The sequence below is a fragment of the Homo sapiens genome, chromosome 3, assembly GCF_000001405.40.
Source record: "Homo sapiens chromosome 3, GRCh38.p14 Primary Assembly".
In the NCBI taxonomy this organism is placed as follows: Eukaryota; Metazoa; Chordata; class Mammalia; order Primates; family Hominidae; genus Homo; species Homo sapiens.
In genome coordinates, this window is record NC_000003.12 from 97,483,552 (window position 1) to 97,501,060 (window position 17,509).

Consider the following 17,509-nt stretch of genomic DNA (forward strand, 5'->3'; position numbering starts at 1 on the left):
CCTAGTGGGCTTCCTTGCTTTGGAGGGAGGCTTATGCCTCATTTTCCCCATTCCCCAAGCTAGAGCAGATGTGGAATGTTTTGGAAGCATAGTGAATGAGTGAGCTGATTAAACATTTTATAGAAATATGAGACATGTGTTTTCTGGAACCTGTCAGCTCACTTTCTAGAAATCCACCAGGTCATTCTACATTAACAGTGAGGTAAATAAATTTTTGACCCTCGTAGTCAAAGCTTTAATATGGGACAGGAAGAAAAGAGAGACTTTAAATCATTATCAAGACTGACTACTTCAGTATGTCATTTCCGGTTTTAAATGTTCACAAGATATAGACCACTGAGATACTCAAACTAAATCAATCGTTTTGTTATTGTTGTTGCAGTGCGCTTCCCGGGAATTAAAACTTACATTGATCCAGATACATATGAAGACCCATCCCTAGCAGTCCATGAATTTGCAAAGGAGATTGATCCCTCAAGAATTCGTATTGAGAGAGTCATTGGGGCAGGTAAATGTCAAATCTACACTTTTGAACAAAACATTCCTTAATTTCTTTGTAACTGGTTTATCAACATACTATCTTAAATCTTGGCAGTTTTGGTCATTGAAAAGTTTTAACAAGTGAGAAGTAAAGTGATCTTGTATATGTTATTTTTTTTAAGTATATTTAGTGTCCATTTGTTTCCAAACAATGACAACATTCACAAAAGTTACTTTTAACATTCTATAGTCTTTTTTTATAGTAGAGATAAATTACAATGAAACTATAATTTTTAGGGGTTTGTCATAAGGTTATAGATTTACTTGAGCGCCAACATGTATAGACATACACTATAATTATAATAGTATTTAAAATGATGACCATGAGCCTCTGCAAGACACAGAAAAGTTCTGAGAATCACCAAAGATAAAATTTGGTTCAATGTAGTTTTAGGTCATTTTAATGCAAATTAATATTTCTCCCTATGTAGAATTTTCCAATCTTAGAACATTTTATTATTCAACTATCCTGAATAAATACAAATTTCTTGTAAATCACCCCACAGGAATTTATGCTGTACATTAGTTAAGGCAGAGGCTAAGCCAATGTAACAAACAGACTCCAGAATACAGATTTATTCCTCTTTCAGATGCTTGACCCAAGGTGAATAGTCCATGCTGGCAGAGGAGCTGTCATTCAGGGGGACTTGCAAGGCCCAAGTTCCTTCTGTTCTTGGCTCTTCCTTCCCCTAGCATGCCATCCTCCTGTAAATGACCAAAGCTGGGTCACCAGTACATCTGCCTTCCTGACTGTGAGAAGGAAAAGGAAATAGTTCTGTCTCTCTGGTTTTGCTTTTAAGGCAATCACCTGAAACTTCCAAACACAGTATTCACATCTCAATGGTCCAAATAACAATAACATGGACATACTTAATTGCTAGAGAGTTTGGAAACGGAATTGCCGACAGCTGCCATGCATGCAGCTAAAATGCATACATTTATGCAGGGGGGCTGTTTTCCTAAAATAGACAAGGGATATTGGATCTTGATGGGGAACATAGGTCTCCTCTAGATGCTGGAGATTTGTTTAATCCTTTGGAAAGAGCAGAACAGATGCAAGCATGGCCATTCCAGCCAGGTGTCATGTCTTTACAAAGGCCAAAAGAAAGCAGCTGATGATCCTCTGTTTCTTTCAAAGTCCTTTTTCCTCCAGAAGGACAAGCTACATAATTTGCAGGGCCCAGTATACCCTGAAATATACAGAGTCCCTTGTTAAAAATTTATTAGTTATTTCAAGACGGTGACAACAGAGAACTAAACCAACTACAGGGCACACCTAAACTCAAGGCTGTACGTGACTGCACAAGTTACATACTCATGAAGCTAATCCTGTTTCCCGGGTACACAGAGAAGTAGAACTACCTCAAGAATTCCAGGCACATTTGCAGAGAGTTCTTCCTGATTTCACTCCATTCCCTAGGTACCATAGATCACCTCATCTCCTGCATGGCTGGGTCTCCCTCTGAAAGCTGCCACAAGGGCCTTTATGTTCATAATCTTTATGTTCTCAGCCAAAGAAGCTGCCTTATCAGAAAGATTAAGGACCTGAAATGGAACCAGATTCTCTGTCTTCTTCCACTGAACAAAGAGCACATCAGCAGGCATAATTGAGAAGAGTGATTGAATTATATTCATTTAGCTTTGGAGTTTGTTTTCTTAAGACAGCAAAGGGATAGAGAAGAGAGGAGGTTGGATAATCTCCATTGCACACGATGTTTGGCTTTCTTCTTCTTGCACCTGTGAAAAACTGATATGTCTTTTTATACTGCCTTGTCCAATACTCACATAGATACAGGAGAAGCATTTTCTGTTTTAGCCCTTTGTGCTACAGCATAACAAAATGCCAGTGTCTGAAATCATAATGTTGAGAGATAAAATCAAGTATCTGAAGTATAAACAATAAGAAGAAATAAAATGTTTCTTTTATTTTTAGATATTTTTTCAAGTAAAATATAAATTGTTCTCTTAAAAAAGTATAATTGATACTGCAAAAGCAAAAAATAACTACTAAAGAGATTATTTTAATTTCATTTTTCCACCTGCTGTCCCTGAACTCTAATAAGTCATAATGGCGTTTATCTCATTTGGCAAAGACAGATTATCTAAACCATGTAGTTATTCCTATAGATTGGGGTCTCTTTTTAAATCTTTATTCATCTTTGATTGTTTCAGCTTTCAAACAATATGCTAAGGGTCCTTTTACTGTCCATATTCAGAAAAATAACAAAAATAAAACTGGTATGTGAGACAAAAGTATTATAACCTAACTTGCGCCCCTGGCCGTACTGCTCTGTTAATTTATTCCTTTAGATCATTGTTATAGCCCTTTTTATGCTGCTCTAATAGAATGCCTCACATGGGGTAGTTTATAATGAACAGAGTTTTTAGGCTCAAGGTCCTGGCGGCTGAAGTCAAGATTGAGGGGCCACATCTGCTGAGGGTCTTCCTGCTGCATCATAACATGGTGGAAGGCATCACATGGGTGAGGGAGAGAAAAAGGGGGCTGACCTCTCCCTTTTATGAGGCTGCTGCATTAATCCAGTCATGAGGGCTGAGCCCTCATGATCTAATTACCTCTTTAAGGTCCCACCTCTAAACACAGTTGTATTAAGGATTAAGTTTCCAGTGTGTGCACTTGAGGGGACACATTCAAACCATAGCAGTCATGTTTCTAAAACTTTACTTTTGTGACTGTGTGAAGTGTGAACGTATTCCATAGCAGCAGTGTGGACAAAACATTGCTCAAATTGAAGAAGAACCAGTCGTGTAACATCTGTGTACCACTGGTTACTTTCCCAATTTGTAACTATAAATATTTTCTTACATTGTTTTGTATCCTTTATTTTCTTTCCCCAGCTATTGATTGTTTCTTCTGGGACTCTATTTCTTCATCATCTTTGTCTGTTAGGTAGTCCCCTTGGAAATGTAAATTAAGTGACTTAAGTGGTAGTCTAGATGCTAGACAGAGGTGAAGTGAGGTAGAGAAGATGAGAGAGGCCAGATATCAGGTTGTGACAATTGTCAAGTGCAGGATATTCAGGCAGAATTAAGGCATTGACAGTAGGAATGGCAAGGAGTACTTAGATTCACAGTTCATTTCTGAGGAAAAATGTACGAGACCTCTGTCTCTTATAGATGCAAGACATGCATGCAAAGCAACAGTTAAGATTACTTTTCAGATTTCTAGTTGGAAAAGCACAATATACAATCATTAAATCTTTCTTAAATGAGTTATCAGAAATAAATGTAAAACAGCCACATTAACATTTTCACAAAAAGCATGATATCACACCTGACCTGTGACATTTCTTACCACATTCACTGAACAATGTTTGTTAGATGGCTAATATTTACTTGTAAAAGATAATGTGCCACTTAATCATTTCATATTAAATCACTATGCTCATTAGAGATACATGTATTCAGGCTGTCTTCCTCAATCTTTGTCCTGAGATTTTCAACTACTAACCATCAAAATACTGTGCAACTGAACCATAAAAATTTAATTTTTCTGTACATATATTCTTAACATTCTCCTTCTTTCCCTATAAATTTCACTGGTTTTTTATAAGTTTTCTAGGGTACTTTTTTTGTGTGTGTATCACTGTTCTATTTAATACTGGCAGCTTATCTTTGTTCATCAATATTGGCCTGAATTTCCATGAAAATGCACATTTCCATTTAAATGAAGTGAGCAGCTCTGTTGCATAGGAGACTATCAAGATCATCTATCTCCTTTGGCTTTTTTGCACTATAAAATGAAATTCTGTGGACAGAGGACTGTAAAACAGAAACTCCCAGGCTAAAACAGCCAGGTCAGATTAGGGGAGAATCATTATTTTATACATATCTTGCAAGATATGAGAAAACGGTAAACAATTTTAATCATGGTCTGAAAAAGTCATTGAAAGGTTGTCCCTCTTTCAGGGTACTACTAAACCTAAACCAGTATAAGAACAACTTGCCTGGCAGAGTATAATTTTGAAACATTATTCCATTGAAAAAATGATTCTTGTGTCGCTAAGCCCATAGGGCACCCTTCTTAAATTTGACCTTCCCTGTTTCCCTTGTCTCAATGGAAATACATAATATCTTCCTGTCATACATATTCTTTCCCTTTATCTATATGAAACTCATTATGGCCTCCACTATCAGCCTTCTCTTCTGGCTTAGAGTCACCAAATTTTTTCTCTTTCTAGAATAGTCCAGGAAGTTTTAACTGTTGGTTTCTCAGCAGTTATCTGCAGGTAAAAGAATGTCAAAAGGACAACAAGAAGGATATAAAAGTGAGTGTCAAGCCTAATATTTCGATTCTGTTATTCCGTCTTGTTTGAAATCACATTTCCCCTTGATGCTATACAAGGCCTAATGTTCACTTCATGTGCCTCTCCTAATTCCCCTGCCACCCTCAACCCAGCAGGCCTCTATTTTCTACTCTAGAATATATTATTTTTTAGTTATCTTAAAGAAACTGTATTTTTGTTTGTCTTTTACACTTGTGTTATATATTCTTGTAGCATGACAATGACAAATGTAGGCAATATTCCAGATGTGGTTTCACAATTCTCTTTATATATATATTTTAAAACCTTGTGTTTATGGCTCATTTTCTCTATATTTAGATGAGATGACTTCCTTAGAAATGAGATTCATTCTTGTCCATCAACTTAAAGGATTTATGGTAGAGGTCACATTCATTTTCTTGTGTATTCTTGAAAACTTTGCATGTTGAGTAGACTGAGAATAAGATCAACAACAGATTTTGGCAAGGCCTTTGTGCTTTTACTCAATAATTTCAGAGCTTTCTAAATCAAATGATGTAATAAAAGATCAGCTTTACCCATTCTCCATCTATATTATGATATGAATGAAAAAGCAAAGAATGAAGCAAGACAGACTCAGATATGAATCACAGCTTTGCTACTAGCTCATTCTGTAAACTTTAACAATTTAGTTATCGTTCAGAAATTTGGGTCACTCCATGTATAAAGTAGATTTATAATAACAGCTATCTTACAGGATTAATAAAAGGATTAGAAATGACTATTAGATTAAAAAATAAATACAGTTTCTACATTCAGTTTTGACTGCTGAGATGAATAACACTTATTGCCCAACCCTCAATATACTTTGTGATATGAATATCTGCCCATGCAGAATTCAACAGTCAATGCCTTAGGTAACTGGAATAATATTTATGATTTTCAGAGTTAGTTGAAAATTAGTAATTGAAATGAAATTTTATTTTTGTTACTACATTGAGTTATATCCATGTCAACAAACTCTTTTTCTTTTTAATTAAAGAAACTCAAGGCAGGGCACGGTGACTCACGCCTGTAATCCCAGCATGTTGGGAGGCCCAGGCGGGTGGATCACGAGGTCAGGAGATCAAGACAATCTTGGCTAACACGGTGAAACCCTGTCTCTACTAAAAAACACAAAAAATTAGCAGGGCGTTGTGGCGGGTGCCTGTAGTCCCAGCTACTCCGGAGGCTGAGGCAAGAGAATGGCATGAACCCGGGAGGCAGAGCTTGCAGTGAGCCGAGATCGCACCACTGCACTCCAGCCTGGGCGAAAAAGCGAGACTCCGTCTTAAAAAAAAAAAAAAAAGAAACTCAAAACTTATTTTTTTATATTTAGGAGGTTATATTTGTCAGGGAATGTTTATTTTTTGTTAAAAAACTCAACAAGTCTTAAGATGAGAATCAAAGGAAAAATTATTTAAATAACGTAAAACTATTCTACAGTAGTCTATCAATTTATTCTTGGTACATCTAAGGAATTAGTAGATTTACTGTCAGGAGCAGGACTGTATATCAATTTAATAGACTTTCAATTAATTTTTGTTAATTTCATGAGTGTTTACCTGCATTTCAACACCGTACATCTTATTTGGAACCATTTAGTACACATTTTCTATCTTATATACAGATTTCCAAAACTTGCAAGTTGCCTCATCATAGTCATTGTTTGATAAATGCTTGTTTAATAAATAAATAAAATTCTTAAACTAATTTAAAAAAATAATGAGTAAATAAATGAATGACAAAAGGATATAGAATTATTCTAAGTAATGATTTTACGTGACTATGTTTATCTGGTTGCCAACAAAAATCTTAATGAAGTATGACAATATAAAATTAATTGCATAATATGTGCAAATAAAAATAAGAAAAATTCATAGAGGACATTTGGGAATTACAATTGTTACATTGCTTTATATTAACAATTTACTTGATAGACCAAAATTATAGAATTTATTATATGCCTTTGCACTTATATAGTAAAATACAGAATTATACAGAAAATATTACATTGATATTTTATTTTGAATTGAGTTTATGTAACAGGGGAAGTAATTTTGAAGAGTTGTTTATAACTTACAAAGAAGTTATTTTTCAAATTTGTTTTTATTTTTTTCTTCTAGTTTGTGTATTGCTAAAATATTAGGTGAAATGAAGGAAATTTGATCCCTATTTTCAAAAGAGTTCTCCAAGGATGTTAGCAAGACTGGGTACATCTTAGAATGATGTTCTTTCTTATGGCTAAGAAACAATAGATGAGAAAGACCCACATATCGACAGCAACAACTTTTAGCCCTTATATTTCTAGAGTATATTAGTTATCTCTTGCTGCACAACAAATTACCCTAAAACTTAAAACAGGAACATTACTATCTCACAGTGTCAGTGGCTCAGGATTCAGGAATGGCTTAGCTCCTGCACAGTTGCTCACAAGGTTGCAGTCCTGGTGTCAGCTGGGACTGTGGTCTCAACTGAAGGTCAGCTGGGCAAGGATCCACATCCAAACTTATTTATATAGCTGCTGTCAGGATACAGTCCTTTGAGGGTTGTTGCACAGACAGTTTTAATTCCTCACTGCTGTTGGCTGGAGAACATCCTCAGATTCTTACCATGTGGGCATCTCCAACGTGGCAGCTTGCTTCATCAAAGCCAGCAACAGAGTCTGCTAGTAAGACAGAAGTCACAGTGTTTTATAACCTAATCATGGAAGTGACAGCAAATTACCTTTGCACATTCTATTGACCATAAATATGATACTAGACCCTCCCCACACTGAAGGGAAGGGATCACACAAGGACAGGAATACCAGGATGCAGGGATCATTGCAGGCCATCTTAAAAGTTTGCCTACTACAAATAGTATTGTTTCATTATGTTTGGGGCTCTAAGGTGGTCCTAATTAGCCAGCATTACCAGGAGTGATTTCTCCCCTTCAGTCCAATTCACATCAAAGATATCAAAGATGAGTCTTAGACACTCTCTGATACTCAAGCAGTTTATTCTGGCAGTGCTCTTGTAAGATGGATAGTGGGGAGCAGGCCAGTGGCATGGGCCAGGTACAGTCGGGGGGTCAGATGATCAACTGACCAGGAGGGTCTCTGTCTGGAGACCATTCTCAGAGTTTAGGAAGTTCCTCCCACTTTCTTATACCTGTATTCAGTGTGGGTCAATTATTAGGTGTTTCTTTCATAAAGGGAGTGTAGTCTCTCCTTGTAAGGGTATGCTTTTTTTTTTTTTTTTAAGGTTTATGAGAGTTGAATCTGTGCTGAGATGGCCTTGTGTATAGGGTATCCAGGGTTTTTAGGTCTCATTGTCATAGAGACCCAGTCATCCCCAGGCCTACTTGCATCATACCCCTAAGGACACATAATGTCGGCCCTGTGAGTTGTTTGAGTAGGCCATAGGGCTGTCATTAATCCCACAGCCACCATGTGTTTGTAGGCAGTGTTTCAAGCAGAGAGCAAGAGTTGTAAGGCCACTTGAGGTCTTGTCTCTGAACTTAATTCTGACACATACAGTTGATCAAAGCAAGTCACAAAGCCAGACCATATTTAACAAGGTAGAAAAATAGATTTTACTGGTCAATGGGAACAGCAAAATTACATTGCAAAGTGGCATACATGTAGGATAGGGAGGAATTCATGGCCATTTTTTTACAATCTACCACATAGCTGATAGATTTTTTTTAAGTGAATCATTATTTTTTCAAGCTTAAAGTGAATAACAGATTATGAATTCATTTGCTATTTTGTCTCTAAGACTATTTTTGCTTTGCACCCCCTAATGAATGATATTAATGTTTTCTTAATACTCTTAGTTAATCAGCCTTGGGTTAGGTATTAAAAGGCTTACAAAAAGGAATAATGAGCTGGGCATGGTGGCTCACACCTGTAATCCCAGCACTTTGGGAGGCCGAGGCGTGCAGATCATTTGAAGTCAGGAGTTTGAGACCAGCCTGGCCAACGTGGTAAAACCCAGTCTCTACTAAAATACAAAAATTAGCCAGGCATGGTGGTGGGCACCTGTAATCCCAACTACTCAGAAGGCTGAGGCAGGAGAATCTCTAGAACCAGGGAGGCGGAGATTGTAGTGAACCGAGATAGTGCCACTGCACTCCATCCTGGGTGACAGAGCGAGAGTGAGACTCAGTCTCAAAAAAAAAAAAAAAAAAAAAAAAAAAAAAAAAAAAAAAAAAAAAAACCGTGGATAATGTAGCATCTCAGACTCAAGCGGGAAGCTAAGGAAAGTATAATATATAAGGTAGAAAGGAGGAAAGAAAGGACAAGATAGATAATAAGTGAAGAAAACATGCAAATAAATTGTTGTTCAAAGAATGTAAAGATCACTGTATACTGGGAGATCAGATCGCATTAGAAAGACTGAATTAGGCATTTAGATATACTGTTAAAGATAAGGATTGTCAAGCTGTAGAAAAGGTATTTTAGATGGGAAAAGCATTAGAAGTGGTAGAATAAATGGTGTGGAGATTAAGAGGAATTTAGGACGTTTTCAAGTATTTAGAGCTTGATGACACTGGATCTTTATTATATCTAATTTCTCTTCAAAACATAAGCTTTTCCTTTTTTTTTTTTTTTTTGATGTGAATGTAACTCTAGCCCTGCTTTTTGGCTATGAATAATGGCTAGTGACTTTTTAGTTTGTTGACTTTTTAATGACAAAGTTTAAAGTGATTAAAGAAAAGAGGAAAGATGTTTTACTTTTATTGGGCAAAGAAAAGTAAAAAAGAGTATGGATCTGTATGTGTGTGTGTATGTATACATACGTACATGTAAATGTGTTTGTGTTTGTATGTGTGTGTGTGTGTATACATACGTACATGTAAATGTGTTTGTGTTTGTATGTGTGTGTGTGTATGTGTGTATTAGTCAGCTTCACTGTCATAACAAAATATCACAGATTGGGTGGCTTAAAAGGCACAAATTTATTTTCTCACAGTTCTGGAGGCTGGAGTTTTAGATGGGGTGCCTACATGGTCAGGTTCTGGAGAAGCTGTCTTCTGGATCGCAGAGATCCACCTCCTTGTCCTCACATGGCAGAGAAGAGATATATCTTCCTCTTCGTATAAGATCACAGTCTTTATCAGATTAGGGTCCCGCTCTGAAAACCTCATTTAGCCTTAATTTCTTCCAAAAGACCATATGTCCAGATGCTGTCACATTGAGTTAGAGTATCAATGTATAAATTTTGGGGGGACACAATTTAGTCCTCTGTGTGTGTGTGTGTGTGTAGTGGGTGAGGAAGAAAGCAAGATATTACCTGATGAAAGATTTACTCACTGTTATCCAAGTGTCTTCATGAGTAAATTTTGAATGAAAGAATAAAAATTGTAAATTCATAAAGGATATGCCTGCTAGGTTTGACTTACTGGGAGAGCTCTGTCTGAACTTAGAGCTGAGTTTAGGCTGAGAGCTAAAGCAAACTATCTCGTGGTTACCACGTGTCCAGAGAGTGGTGGAGGCACAGGGAAACAGAGAGAGGAGCAATAGGTCTCCCAGAGTAAAATCTATAAAGATGGTACAATTTCAGTTACTTTTCAGATAATATGCTGATGTGATTGCTGTTAAGACTATAAGAAAGATTTCAAAAAATCAATATGAATGCTAAAAATCAAACTGTTCAATGTGCAATTGAAGCCTAAGTGCTTTGACCAGGATGTACCTATTATGGGTTATCTTTGTAGTAGGTTCTTCCAACAGATGTTAGAACCTTTTCTAAAATCAGGTATTTGACATTTTATCACAACTTTTATTAACATCAATGTAACTTGTGTATCCACTGTTCCCTGATTATAATGGAAAAGTACCTTAATTTTATCCGGAAATAATATTTGTGTCATAAATAGGGTTTCTTCCCCAAAAGTTATTTCCGCCTTTTATAACCAGTTAATCTATCTCTGGTTAGAATCTTATAAACTTTCCTCGCAGTAAGTGACACTTTCTAACCTGTCTCGTCTTTTCCTGATCTTGTCCCTAAAATTTGGAGTCATTTTATATTTGTTCTTCAAACATCTCATCCACTGGGGGAGAAAATTCAATTTAAATTTTGAGAACAAGAACTAGCCAATTTACCTTCGTGAGCTGTAATTTCCCTATCCGTGAAATAAAAGTAAAATACCTTTACTCCTTCATGATTGTTGTGAGAAGAAAATGAGATAAAGTAGATTCTATCTGACCATCCAGCATTTATCAGAACACCACCAATGAAAGTGTTCACTACCTCCAAGATAGCCCATTCCCTTGGGAACAGTTCCAATAAATCCAGGATATTTGTGAGTAAAAAAAAAAAGTGCTTCCTTATAACTCCGTACATGATCTTACAACACTGCCTACTGGTACTCGTTCTGCAAAATTGAACTTATACAAAGTAAACCTAATCCTACTTCCACACCACACCATTACCCTTCAAATAGTTAAAGAACAACATGTAAACCTCATAAATCTTCTTTGTTCAGCCTAAATTGTCTAAATCTTTTCAACCATTTCCATCCGACATGATGTCTAGATACGTCATCATTCTGGCCACCTTCCTCTGGAGATCTAGAGTTTTTCTCTAAGTCTTTTCCAGAATTGAACCCAATACTCCAAATGTTTTCTAATCAATGTGAGAACACAGGGATAGCACGTTTCCTGCTGTGCCTCGATTAATGCATCCTGAGTTTGCATTTGCTTTTTGAACAGCTGCCACGCGCTGTTGGCATAGGGAGAGCTTACTACCAGCTTATCCCCAGCGGTCTTTCTCAGAGGAGTTTCTATTAAGCCAGGCCTATTTCTATACTTGTCAATTGACTTTATTACTTTTGAGTGCAATATTATATTTTTATAGGTCTACACTATATATATATGTAAATCATATATATAAATATGAACCATATATATCATATAATTCATATATAAAAATATGAATAGATATAGATATGTTGAAAATGGTCTAGATATGTAATACCTATATAAATTTGTATAGATAGGTAAAGAATGTATATTCTAGAAATATATACTAGAATATATGATATATTCTTTACATGTCTATACAAATTCTAGTATATATAGAATATATGATATGGAATATATGGTATATGTACTTTACATCTCTATACAAACATTATGTACTTTTCATATTCCCATTTCATAAATATTCCTATTCAATTTCATTGTGTTTCTGTAAGTAAAATTTCTCAACCTGTCCATGTCTTTTTCCATCTCAATTACATCAGCTGGTACAATTATTGTCCTTCTCAGTAACATCTGTGATTTGTTCTGCCTTGCAATTTAGCTGTGTACTCTTATCATAAGAGCTCAGCACTCCCTGTGCAGCAATCATTTAGTATACTCTCTAATTTTCTTCTTCATTGGTACAATTGTTTTTTCATTATTGGAATTCTGTATTTTGTAGTTGCCTATCTCTCACTCTTTATAGAATCTCTGATCAAGAAATTGTACCCAATCCATGTGCATTTTTTAACTGCCACTCTGAAGTTTAATGTCTACAGTTATGGCCGTACTTTTTCCCTGGACTGTAAATATCTTAAAGTGAAAATGGTCAGTTTTTTCCCAGGTTTCCCCACCCCTTGCATTTCATCAGTCTTTATTCAGAACTAAATCAAAATAACAGCTCTGTTGACTTTTTGAAAGACGGACACAGCAGCGAGGCAGGCAATTATGATTTTATAGCTTCTCTCTTATTGCTTTCATGGTGGACTAAATGAATTCACAGCATGGGAAAGTGTGTTTTGTGAGGATTGATTGAAGTGTGAAGCACATGGACTTTCCATGTGGTCTAATGCAGTTCCTTGTTCACATGGAAAGCTCTGATATTCTCTTCCTGCCAAAATCTTTGTCCGTGGTTTCCTCCTCGCTTCAGCCTATCAGGAAAAAAAAGTCTGTCTTTACCATTAATAGTAGGCAAGAATTATTAAATGTTCATCTGCTTGGGATGAGCTTTACATGCATTATTATTTCTTTTATCATCACAAACCTATAAATCACAAGGATCACATATGTCTATTTTACAGATACGAAAGCTAAGATTTAAAGAGATTAAGTTATTTGGTCAAAGTGAACCAGCTTGTAATAGTGAAGCCAGAGTAATCTTATGTTATAGCTCATGCTTTTATTAACCACAACTTCATTACAAATAACCCTTTATATTTATGAAGCCATACTTCTATAAGAATATCTTCTTCTGGCACTTGTACAACTGATAATTCTGAAACCATCTTCACCTATCTTAGGTGAATTTGGCTGTGTTCCTTGCTTTCATTCTGGCCATCTGTCAGTCTTTCTGTCTGTAGTCACTTTCCAACTCTATGACGTATAGACTGTGTTTTAGCTGCTGATTGAGTCTCTGTGATTTGTAGGCTGAAAGTGAATTACCATTACCTAAGTGCATTGATGCACACACACAAAAAAAAAACCAACTGCCTCAGCAGAACCAACAGTAATGTGAATATTGATTATTGTCATGAAATCATTATTTAGGATAGGATTACAAATTTCCCTCATTTGTAGTGAGATTTGCATGTTCTGTGTGGCATGTCAATTTATCATCATTCCCTGTCAGCTCTGCCTTCAAATATATCCCAGGATCCAACCTCGTTTTACCACTTTGCAACAGCCTCCCTGGCCAACCCACCAACACCTCTCCTAGCCTCCCTTCTTCTACCACTCCGTGGTATGTTCTCCTAACATGGAACCCTAGAATGGAAAGATCCCTTGGAAATGTAAACCAGATTGTGTCCCTCTCTGCTCAAAACCTGCCAATCATGATCTGTTCTGGTCAAAGTAAAAGCCTGGCCACCTACTTAGCTGCCTCTTCAATTGCATCTCCACCAACCTTTCCTTCACGCATTGCTCTGGCAACAATGGTGTCATTCTTCCTCAACTTTCTACATGCACTCCTATCTCAAGACCTTTGCACCTGGTATTCTGTCTAACTAGGAAGCTCTTAGCTCCAGTAACATCATGGCTCTGTCCCCACTCCCTCACTTCCTCCAACTTCTATGACAATGCAAATTTATCAGAGACCTTTCAGGTCCTTCATAAACTAGCAATTCTCCTTTCTTACTCTCCTTCCCTCTCACCCTGCCTTTATTCCACAGTAATTATTACCAACTAACATGTACATGTGTTTTGTTTTTCCTATTGTCTGTCTTCCCTTTCTCTTTCTAATTCACTGCTGTACCCTCAGCCCTTTAAACACTACTTGGCATGTGGTAGGCACTATATAAATTTTAATTAATGGATATAGAATTTACAAGTGTTTATTTATCTATTAAATGACTTTATTCTCAAAAACCTAGTGTAGGGTTGAGGAGAAGGGAGCAGGATCATAATTCTTCTTATGCATGTGCGGGGTTAATTGCTGTGATGGAATGCTGAAAAGAATGCATCAGACTCTCAGAAAAAAAAAAGCAGGCAAGTCTAATTGAATTTTAGGAGAATTACATAGATTGCAATTAAAATGATCACTATAATGTCAGTGTGGAGGAAGGATTTAGATAAGCAGTGATTGACAGCAGATAAACCCATAAGAATTCAGGGATTCATGAGAACAAGGCAACAGAACAAGTCTCAGGTTTTTTACCAGAATGACTGAGGTTAAAACAAACAAACAAACAAAAAAACACAGGAATATTGGGATATTTGACATGTTGAGATAATGTGGAAGAATCAAGTGTTTTCAAGCCAAGAATGAAAATCTGGTCTATGTTCTTGTTTGACGAAAATCACTATGCTCTTGATGTATTAAATAACCCTTCTTTACCCCGTTATCTATAATTCCTATGAAGACAAGGAATGAACTTAGATTATAACTGATTGGTTGTAACGTAGAGCTCTGCCTAGTGAGAAGCAAATCCAAGAGACACAATTGTCCAGTTTCTAAATGTGCATAGCCAAAGAAAAGCCAAAAGAAAATAGCAAAAAAAAAAAAAAAAAAAATGGAGTCTGTCCCAAAGCAGGCAGGAATGTCTTGCTTGCCAGAGTTGTACGTCAAGTCCAGGAGGCTTTTTTCAGCTCGTTGTTGGGTCATGGGCCCAGTGAAATAATGGGCCATTACCTGACTAAGGAGAAAAAAATAAAGGGGTAGGGAAGAGAGTTAAATTTTATTTTTAAAACAGTAAATTTGAAAGTACAATTAGTGTGAATGTTGTCTTATATTTGATGTATTGGCCTGGTAAGGGTCACTTGTTGGTTGATGGAACAAATGTTTATAGTACTGGAGATCAGTGGTTCCTTTTTCCTTTACTCTATAACAGTGGTCCTCAACCCCCAGGCTGTGGGCTTCACCCACCTCCTGTCAGATCAGTGGTGACATTAGACTCTCATAGGAGAACAAACCCTATTGTGAATGTGCATGTGAGGGACCTAGGTTGCGTGCTCCTTATGAGAATCTAATGCCTGATGATCTGAAATAGAACAGATTCATCCTGAAGCTATCCTCCCCCAACCCTTCATCTGCGGAAAAATTGTCTTCCATGAAACCAGTTGCTCATGCCAAAAAGGTTGGGGACCTCCACTCTATAAGATCTAACTGCACTTTGCAAAAGCAATAATCAAAAGAATTGAAGGATGACAGATTTCCATTACGATTATAGAAACTTTTAATTTATTTCTGTCTTTTTAAAACTTTTAAGCTTTAAGTCAAAATAATGTACACATATATCTTTAGAAAAGATATACAAACTAGAAGGGCATATAATGAAAAGCACAAGGATGCCATGCCTTCTCTTTACTCCCCATCCAACCTCGATTCTTGTTCATCTGTGGCAATGATTTTTACCTGATTCTGTTTTTTAATTATGAATTAAACGTTACTTATTGACTTTCTGTTATCATGGATAAAGATATAGCTTCCTTACAGCACCCACATCTCCTTTCCTCTCAATATAATTGTTGCCTTTATAACTGATGATACCTTCATAACTTAAACATTAAGATCTGTATATCTTCTTCCCACAAATATAGTCACTATGTTTTATACTTTGGTAGTTTCTTACCTATAATCAAGATACAAAACATACAAACAGCATATTTTCAAATTATTATACAGTCTTGTGCCACTTAAGAACAAGGATATGCTCTGAGAAATGCATTATTAGATTATTTCATTGTGGTACAAACATCATAGAGTGCACTTAACCCAAACCTAGATGGCAGCATCTATTGTACGCTGAAGCTATATGGTATAGCCTATTCCTTCTAGGCTACAAAGCTGTAAAGCATACTGCACTGAATACCTTAGGCAATTGTAACACAATGGCAAGTATTTGTGTATCTAAACATAACATCAAAAAGGTATAGTAAAAATGCAGCATAAAAATGTGGTATAAAAGTGCCCTACCTGTGTAGGGCACTTATCGTGAATGAAGCTTGAAGGACTAGAAGTTGCTCTGGATAAGTCAGTGAGTGAGTAAGGTGTGAATGTGAAGGCCTAGTACATTCCTGTACACTACTGTATGTAAACTTTATAAACACTGTACACTTAGACTACACTAAATGTATAAAATACAAATATTTTTTCTTCAATAATAAATTTTATTTTATAAACTTTTTAACTTTTTTAACTTCTTGACTATAATAACACTCAGAATAAAGCACGAACACATTGTACAGCTGTATAAAAGATTATCCTTATTTATATTCTTATTCTATAAGCTTTTTCCTGTGTAAATTTTGTTTTTAATTTTTAAATTGTTTTGTTACAAACTAAAACACAAACATACACATGAGCTTAGGTCTACACAAGATCAGGATCACAAATATTGCTGTCTTCCACCTCCACATCTTTTGTCACACTGGAAGGTCTTTTGGGATGTGGTATGTGTAAGTTCATTCTGACATTCCTAGAAATACCTGAGACTGGATAATTTTATTTTTTTTTTAAAAAAAGAGGTTTAATTGGGTTAAAATTCGACAGGTTGTACAGGAAGCACGATGCTGACACCTGCTCAGCTTCTGGGGAAGACTCAGGAAATATATAGTAATGGTGGAAGGTGAAGGGGGAGCAGGCATGTCACATGGCAGGAGAGGAGCAAAATAGAGAGTGGAGGGGCAGGTGCTACATACTTGTAAACGACCAGATCTCGCTATTATGAGAACAGCACCAGGGGGATAGTGCTAAACCATTCATGAGAAATCCACCCACATAACCCAATCATTTTCCATCAGGCCCGGCCTACAACACTGGGGATTATAATTCACCATGAGATCTGGATGGAGAGACAGATCCAAACCATATCATGGTAGTAGATATTATGAAGAAGAGTGTGTTTGTCTCCTGCTAAGGTTCCAAAATGACAGCTATCTTCTGGATATACCTGAATTAATTAATTCTATTATTATCAATGGCTCATTTAAACAAGCTTGAAACCCCTAGTATCTTTTTTAGTTTCATAATTAATCAGTTCAATAAGGAGTATAGTTAAATTAATTTCTGTAAAACCTTTAAAATGGTAGCTAATTCTTGGCTACTATTATCTTCATATAATAGGAAGCCATAAGTAAAAGTATACAACAAATAGCAATTTTTTTTCTAGTTCTAAAGTACTATGCCCAAGCTCAAAGGGTTACCTACTCTTCGTAATATTTTCATAATTTTGAAACCAACACTTACTATTTGGGATAACAGTTCTGGACTTTAGTTTCCTGT

At 36.3% G+C, this 17,509-nt stretch overlaps 1 protein-coding gene across 16 annotated transcripts in view; it reads left to right on the plus strand.

The window, feature by feature from the left end:
• The window catches only part of EPHA6 (EPH receptor A6), a 946,939-nt gene that overhangs the window by 668,958 nt on the left and 260,472 nt on the right, over positions 1–17,509 (plus strand). For all 16 annotated transcript variants that reach the window (XR_001740110.2, XM_017006211.2, XM_006713592.4 and 13 more), the window contains one exon: positions 383–508. Coding sequence is in view for 15 of the 16 variants with exons in the window: in XM_017006211.2 (XP_016861700.1) it covers positions 383–508 (126 nt within the window). In the remaining variant the exon portion in view is untranslated. The remainder of the gene's footprint in view (positions 1–382; positions 509–17,509) is intronic.